General features: G+C 37.5%; 1 annotated feature.

The window, feature by feature from the left end:
* Positions 5,476-6,060: an enhancer, noted in NCBI's record as "H3K27ac-H3K4me1 hESC enhancer chr15:46834165-46834749 (GRCh37/hg19 assembly coordinates)". NCBI's record gives its function as "activates a minimal SCP1, AML or CMV promoter by ChIP-STARR-seq in naive and primed H9 embryonic stem cells {active_cell/tissue: H9 hESC(naive and primed)}" and the evidence as "EXISTENCE:reporter gene assay evidence [ECO:0000049][PMID:30033119]".

Raw genomic sequence — 8,041 nt, 5'->3', positions numbered from 1 at the left:
TCAGACAATGTAACATACATGCAATCAGACTACTGAAAGAGCAACAGAATGGGAGACAAAAATATCTGAAGATATAATTGGTAATAATTTTCACAAAAATAAAGGATATCAAACCTCAGATTTAACAAGGTAAGAGATTCCTGAGCTAAATAAATGCATACACACAGAGATACATACACTCACACATGCATACACAACTTCCATATCATATTTCAACTGCTTTAAACCAGAAATACAGAAAAATCTAGGAGGTAGACAGAAAGAAAAAGGCACAGATACACAGTGCATATAGTTGCAAAGATAGAAGAAAGACATCATACTTTTCATTAGAAACTATAGATGATCAAGTAACATTAGCAATATGCTGAAAAAAAATCCTGCCAAATCAAGAAAGTAATAACCAGAAAAAGTTATTTTTAAAAAATAAGATATAAATATTAATTGAGACAAACCAAAGCTGAAATAATTTATTCCAAGAACACCTGTACTTTGAAAAATAAGGAAGTTATTCAGGCAGAAGGAATGTGATAATACTTAGAAACTTGAATCTACATGAAGAAATGAAGATCAACAGAAATGGTTAAAATAAAAGTAAATGTAAAATACATCTGTTTCTTATTTGTAATTACTCTAAAACATAAATGACTGTCTAATACAAAAATAGTAGTAATGTATTGTGGGTTATAGTGCATAAAAGTTAAAATGTATGACAAAAATAGCATAAAAGATAGACTAACAATTGGAGATATATTGATGGAAGGTTCTTATGCTACATGTAAAGTAGTATATTACACGAAGATAGATTACTATTAAAAAATATAAATATTGTAAACCATGGAAACAATTAAACAACTTAAAGTATTTAGTAATAAACAAATGGTGATGTTAAAATTGAATAAAATACTCAATTGATCAAAAGTAGGCAAAAAGGAAGAATAAAAGAAAAAATAACATATTAAATGAAAACGACTAAGCGTAAAATTTAATTCTACATTATTAATAATTATCTTAAACATTTAAACACAAATTAAAAGACAGGTATCTTAAAACTGGATAAAAAAGTAAACCAAACTATCTCAAACTATATCTACATATCTAAAAAGAATCTAAGTTAAACATAAGAATATAGATAGGTGAAAAGTGAACTCATTAACTGAAAGAAAGCTAGAATGACCATATTAATATCAGACCGAGTGGACTTTAGTATAAGGAATTTACTAGGAATAAAGAATCACATATAATAAAAGGAGTCAATTCAAAAGAAGAAATGACAATTTTTAATGTTTATGTACCTATCAACTTAGTTTCAAATACATGAGGCAAAAACTGATAGAAACAAAAAAAGAAATAAACAAATCTACAATTTTTCTTGATAACATTAACACTCCTTACTCAGCTATCTAAAAAGAGCAGAATACACATTCCTTTAAAGTTTACATGGAACATTCATCAAGAGGCCATATTTTGGGTAATAAAACTTCAATATATTTTAAATAATATGATGCAGAGTATGTTCTCTGACCATGGTGAAATTAAACTAGAAATCAGTAACAGAGAGTTATATGGGAAATCCCATATATTTGAAAATTTAAAAACAAAACTTCTAAATAACTGATGAGTCAATGAGAAAACTAGAAAATATTCTCAGTTTAATGAAAATAAAAATACAACATGTTTTATTGAGGAGATGCATTTCAAAGAGTTTTTAGAGGGGACATGATAGCATTAAACATTTATATTAGAAAAATAAGAGGGACTTTTTAGCTCTTACTCCTGCAAATAAGAAGCTTGGAAGTCCTCACTTCATCTAACAAGTGACAACAACAAGAAAAATGAACAAATTAAAAAATCAACAACTTTTCTAAAATCTGCAAGAAAAATGAGGTCACAGAGTGAATACTGCCCCTAACATTTGAGGCAGACAGGCAAATACAGAGAATCACAGCTTACCAAAATAGAAGCCCTACAGTAACTGTGGAAAGCAGGAAAATCCGAACTATAATTGATGAATTGCTGGAGGCTCATCAGGGATATGAATGAGAATTAAAACCTTCAGGGGGAGCTAGTCAAAGGGGGAGCCCATGTTTTTATGAGTTTTATCTCCAGGAGCTCTATCAAATCCTCACAGTGATAATCAGAAAAAAAAAAAATCCCTTCATGGTTCTGGCAGGAGAAAGAAAGAAACCATTTTGAAATACACCAGAGCACTCTATTCTTCTTATCAAGGTCTGCCCTCCACAGAAACTAGTTAAGCATAGGCCAACTTGCTAGGGTTTTATCGGAGACTAACTGACCCAAGGGAAGGGAAATACCCAACTCTAGCTTCCTTTAGCCTTCCTCATGGGAGAAGGGAAGTACACAAATTGAGCCCACTTGGACCATCCAATTCCACTTAAAGAAGGGTGAATGGCAGAGAAGCACTTGCAAAGTTCACAATCCAGGGGCATAGGCTCACTAAAAGTCTGAGACCTAATCAGAGGATGATAGAACATTTCTCCCACCACACCTTACCAACACATTGCTAAAGGCCTACTTACAGCAGTTGATTTTATCCAATGCATCATGTCCAAATATCAAGAAAAAATTACAAGGCATACTGAAAGGCAAAAAAAAAAAAAAAGGAAAAGAAAACACACACACACACACACACACACACACACACACACACACACACAGAATCAGACTCAGATATGGTAGGTATATGAAAAATTCAAAATAGAAATTAAAAACAACTATGATTAATATGGTAATGGCTATCTATAATGGATAAAGAAGACAGCTTGCAAGAACCATTGTAAGCTGCAAGTTGCAGAAAGATGGAAATTCTAAGAAAAAAGAAATATGATATATCAAAAACACTATAACAAAAACAAAGAATACCTTCAATGGACTTATTAGTAGAGTGGACATAACTAAGGAAAGAATCTCTGAGCTTAAAGATATCTCAATAGAAATTTTCAAACCTGAAAATCAATCAGAAAAAGACAAAAAAAAAAAAGGAATCCCAAATTATGGGACAACTACAAAAGGTATAGCATATACATAATGGGTATATCAGAGGAGAAGAAAGAAAAGAAGAGAAAAAACAATTGAAACAAGGACTGAGAATGTTCCCCAAATTAGTGTCAGATAACAAACCAGAGATCCAGAGCACTCAGAAAACCCCAAGCAATTTAAATGCCACAAAAACACCTGGGCATATTATTTTCATGCTACAGAAAATCTAAGGTAAAGAGAAATCCTGAGAAGAGTGATGTCAAAAACCATGGTGGAATAGGAGGCTCCTGACCTTTCTCCTACAGATTCACCAGATAAACATCTATACATGTGTAAGTTCCTCCAGAAGAAAGTCAGAAATGAGTTGAGAGACTCCTACACCTGGCCAAATGAAAAAAAAAATCCACATCAAAATGGATAGAAAAAGTGGAGGCACACTTGAGCACAAACCCTATCCCAGCATCGTGCCATACAATCAGGAAGGAATCCTCAACACTCAGTGTCTTACTGAGAAGGGAGAATTTAGGCTATATATATAGTGCTCTAACTCTAATGTTCTTTATGGTTTGCTAGTTTTTGACCTAACTGGGAGAAGAAGGGGCCAGGCATATAGAAATCTCTCTAGATCACAGAAAAAGCACTGGTTTTATATGAGTGTGCAAGCACTTTTAGGGGCTTCGATCTGTGGGATCAGGGCAGAAAAGGGGCTAAAAGGCACAGCTCGCAGTCTCTCCCCAGAAGGAATTTGTCAGCACACTCTACCAGCTGCTGCTGACAGTTGGACTTCTAACTAACCTGTATTAGAGAGTTAATAAGGCAGACAAAAAGTCCTGAACAGGAGCTCACGCACTTCCCAAGGTTTTTCCCCAGCCCACTCCAGTGATAAATCCAATTCTTGCTGGGAAGAGTGTCCATGCACTGAATGTCCCAAATTCCACAGCTCCCACATTAGAGACTGCATCCTAAGCCACCTACTTCTGGGAGTAGAAAGGACTAAACGTGTAATTTTTCTCAGATCACAGTACAAAGAGGTGGTTTTAAATGGGGACACAAACACTTCCAGGGGCTACATCTCCAGAGATCAGTGAAGAGAGGAGCTAAAATGCATAGCTCCCATTTCCTGAAAGAGGTTTCCCTGCATACTCTTGTAGTTGTTACTTGATGATAAATCTTCTAACTAGCCTGAATCCCAGAGTTAATGAGGCAGCAAAAAATAGGCCCCTGGGAACCAAAGTGGGGCTTGGGCACTTCCCAAGTCTTTTCATTGGCTTGATCTAGTGATAAATCCAGCTGTATAGATTTTCCCTGGAAAAAGTTTTGTCCATGCACTGAAGCTACTTGTATAGCTCCCACCTGAAGGACTGCATTCTAACGCACTTAGATCTGACAAATGAAGAGGCTTGGCATTCACTACTTTCCCTAGATCAAAGTTTTGCATAGCTTCAAATTTCTCAACAAAATATTAGCAAATTGAATGCAACACTGTATAAAAAAGAATTATATACCATGACAAAGTGAGATTCATTCTACATATCCAAGTTTGGTTTAATTTGAAAATCAATTAATGTAATCTATCATTAACTTAAGGAGCAGGCTATAGAAAAAAACTTCTAATCATATTAATAGATGCAGAAAATGCATTTGACAAAATCTGACATCCCTTCATGATAAAAACTCTTAGTAAACTAGGGATACAGAGGAACTTATTCAATTTGGTAAAGAACATCTACAAAAAATTCTAAAGCTAACACCACAGTTAGTGGTGTTAAAAAAAAATGGTTACAATGGTGTTAAAAAAATCCTGTAAGATAAAATATGAGGCAAGGATGCCCCTCTCATAACTGATTTTAACATTGTAATGGAAGTCCTAGATAATACAATAAAACAAGAAAAGGAAACAAAAGTAATACAGATTGGGAAAGAAAAAATTAAATGGTCTTTTTTTAAACAAATGACATGGCTGTCTATTTAGAAAATTTGAAAGAGTAGACAAAAAATATTCTCCTGGAACTAGCGCAATGTCGCAGGATACAAGGTTAATACACAAACGTTAATTCCTTTTCAATATACCAGAAATAAACAACTGAAATTTTAAATTAAAAAAATAGCATTTGCATTAGCATCTCCAAAATAAAATACTTAGATATGAATATAACAAAATATGTACAATACCTATATAAGAAAAACTGCAAAATTCTGATAGAATAAATAAAAGAATAAATATCATGTTCATTTATAGAAGACTTAATGTTTTCAAGATAACAAGTTCTTGCTAACTTTACAGATTCAATGCAATCCCAATGAAAATCCCAGCAGGTTTCTTTTTACATCAAGAAGCCTATTCTAAAGTTTATATGTAGAAGGCAAAGACTCAGAGTAGCCAACACAGTATTGAAGGAGAAAAACAAAAATGAAGAATTAACACTATCCAATTTCAAGACTTACTATAATAACACAGTAATCAAGACTGTGTGATATTGGTGAAGGAATAGACAAGCAGTCAGTGGTACAGAATAGAGAGCCCAGAAATAGACTGACATAGTCGACTGATCTTTGATGAAAGATTAAAGGCAACGGAGAAAAGATAGTTCTTTTAACAAATGGCGCTGAAGAAATGGAAATTCCACATTTAAGAAATAGTGACTCAGAGGTGGAGCCAAGATGGCCGAATAGGAACAGCTCCGGTCTACAGCTCCCAGCGTGAGTGAAGCAGAAGACGGGTGATTTCTGCATTTCCATCTGAGGTACTGGGTTCATCTCACTAGGGAGTGTCAGACAGTGGGTGCAGGACGGTGGGTGCAGCACACCGTGCGTGAGCCGAAGGGGGCAAGGCATTGCCTCACTCGGGAAGCGCAAGGGGTCAGGGAGTTCCCTTTCCTAGTCAAAGAGAGGGGTGACAGACGGCATCTGGAAAATCGGGTCACTCCCAGCCTAATATTGCACTTTTCAAATGGGCTTAAAAAACGGCACACCAGGAGACTGTATCCCGCACCTGGCTCAGAGGGTCCTACACCCACGGAGTCTCGCAGATTGCTAGCACAGCAGTCTGAGATCAAACTGCAAGGGGGCATCGAGGCTGGGGGAGGGGCGCCTGCCACTGCCTAGGCTTGATTAGGTAAACAAAGCAGCCCACCTGACCACAGCTCAAGGAGGCCTGCCTGTCTCTGTAGGCTCCATCTCTGGGGGCAGGGTACAGACAAACAAAAAGACAGCAGTAACCTTTGCAGACTTAAATGTCCCTGTCTGACAGCTTTGAAGAGAGTAGTGGTTCTCCCAGCATGCAGCTGGAGATCTGAGAATGGACAGAGTGCCTTCTCAAGTGGGTTCCTGACCCCCGAGCAGCCTAACTGGGAGGCACCCCCCAGGAGGGGCAGACTGACACCTCACACAGTCGGGTACTCCTCTGAGACAAAACTTCCAGAGGAACCATCAGGCAGCAGCATTTGCGGTTCACCAAGATCCACTGTCCTACAGCCACCGCTGTTCTGAAGCCACCGCTGCTGATACCCAGGCAAACAGGGTCTGGAGTGGATCTCTAGCAAACTCCAACAGACCTGCAGCTGAGGGTCCTGTCTGTTAGAAGAAAAACTAACAAACAGAAAGGACATCCACACCAAAAACCCTTCTATACGTCACCATCATCAAAGACCAAAAGTAGATAAAACCACAAAGATGGGGAAAAAACAGAGCAGAAAAACTGGAAACTCTAAAAAGCGAGCACCTCTCCTCCTCCAAAGGAACGCAGCTCCTCACCAGCAACGGAACAAAGCTGGACGGAGAATGACTTTGACAAGTTGAGAGAAGAAGGCTTCAGACGATCAAACTACTCCAAGCTACAGGAGGAAATTCAAACCAATGGCAAAGAAGTTAAAAGCTGTGAAAAAAAATACACGAATGGATAACTAGAATAACCAATACAGAGAAGTCTTTAAAGGAGCCGATGGAGCTGAAAGCCCAGGCTCGAGAACTACGTGAAGAATGCAAAATCCTCAGGAGCTGATGCGATCAACTGGAAGAAAGGGTATCAGTGATGGAAGATGAAATGAATGAAATGAAGTGAGAAGGGAAGTTTAGAGAAAAAAGAATAAAAAGAAATGAACAAAGCCTCCAAGAAATATGGGACTATGTGAAAAGACCAAATCTATGTCTGATTGGTGTACCTGAAAGTGACAGGGAGAATGGAACCAAGTTGGAAAACACTCTGCAGGATATTGTCCAGGAGAACTTCCCCAATCTAGCAAGGCAGGCCAACATTCAGATTCAGGGAATACAGAGAACGCCACAAAGATACTCCTCGAGAAGAGCAACTCCAAGACACATAATTGTCAGATTCACCAAAGTTGAAATGAAGGAAAAAATGTTAAGGGCAGCCAGAGAGAAAGCTCGGGTTACCCACAAAGGGAAGCCCATCAGACTAACAGCGGATCTCTCGGCAGAAACTCTACAAGCCAGAAGAGAGTGGGGACCAATATTCAACATTCTTAAAGAAAAGAATTTTCAACCCAGAATTTCATATCCAGCCAAACTAAGCTTCATAAGTGAAGGAGAAATAAAATACTTTACAGACAAGCAAATGCTGAGAGATTTTGTCACCACCAGGCCTGCCCTAAAAGAGCTCCTGAAGGAAGCACTAAACATGGAAAGGAACAACCAGTACCAGCCACTGCAAAAACATGCCAAAATGTAAAGACCATCAAGGCTAGGAAGAAACTGCATCAACTAACGAGCAAAATAATCAGCTAACATCATAATGACAGGACCAAATTCACACATAACAATATTAACTTTAAATGTAAATGGGCTAAATTCTCCAATTAAAAAACACAGACTGGCAAATTGGATAAAGAGTCAAGGCCCATCAGTGGGCTGTATTCAGGAAACCCATCTCACGTGCAGAGACACATGAGGCTCAAAATAAAGGGATGGAGGAAGATCTACCAAGCAAATGGAAAACCAAAAAAGGCAGGGGTTGCAATCCTAGTCTCTGATAAAACAGACTTTAAACCAACAAAGATCAAAAGAGACAAAGAAGGCCATTACATAA

This window comes from Homo sapiens, chromosome 15 (genome assembly GCF_000001405.40).
Source record: "Homo sapiens chromosome 15, GRCh38.p14 Primary Assembly".
Lineage (NCBI taxonomy): Eukaryota > Metazoa > Chordata > Mammalia > Primates > Hominidae > Homo > Homo sapiens.
Note: the sequence above shows the minus strand (reverse complement) of the source record. Positions and strands in the feature narration are given on the sequence as shown.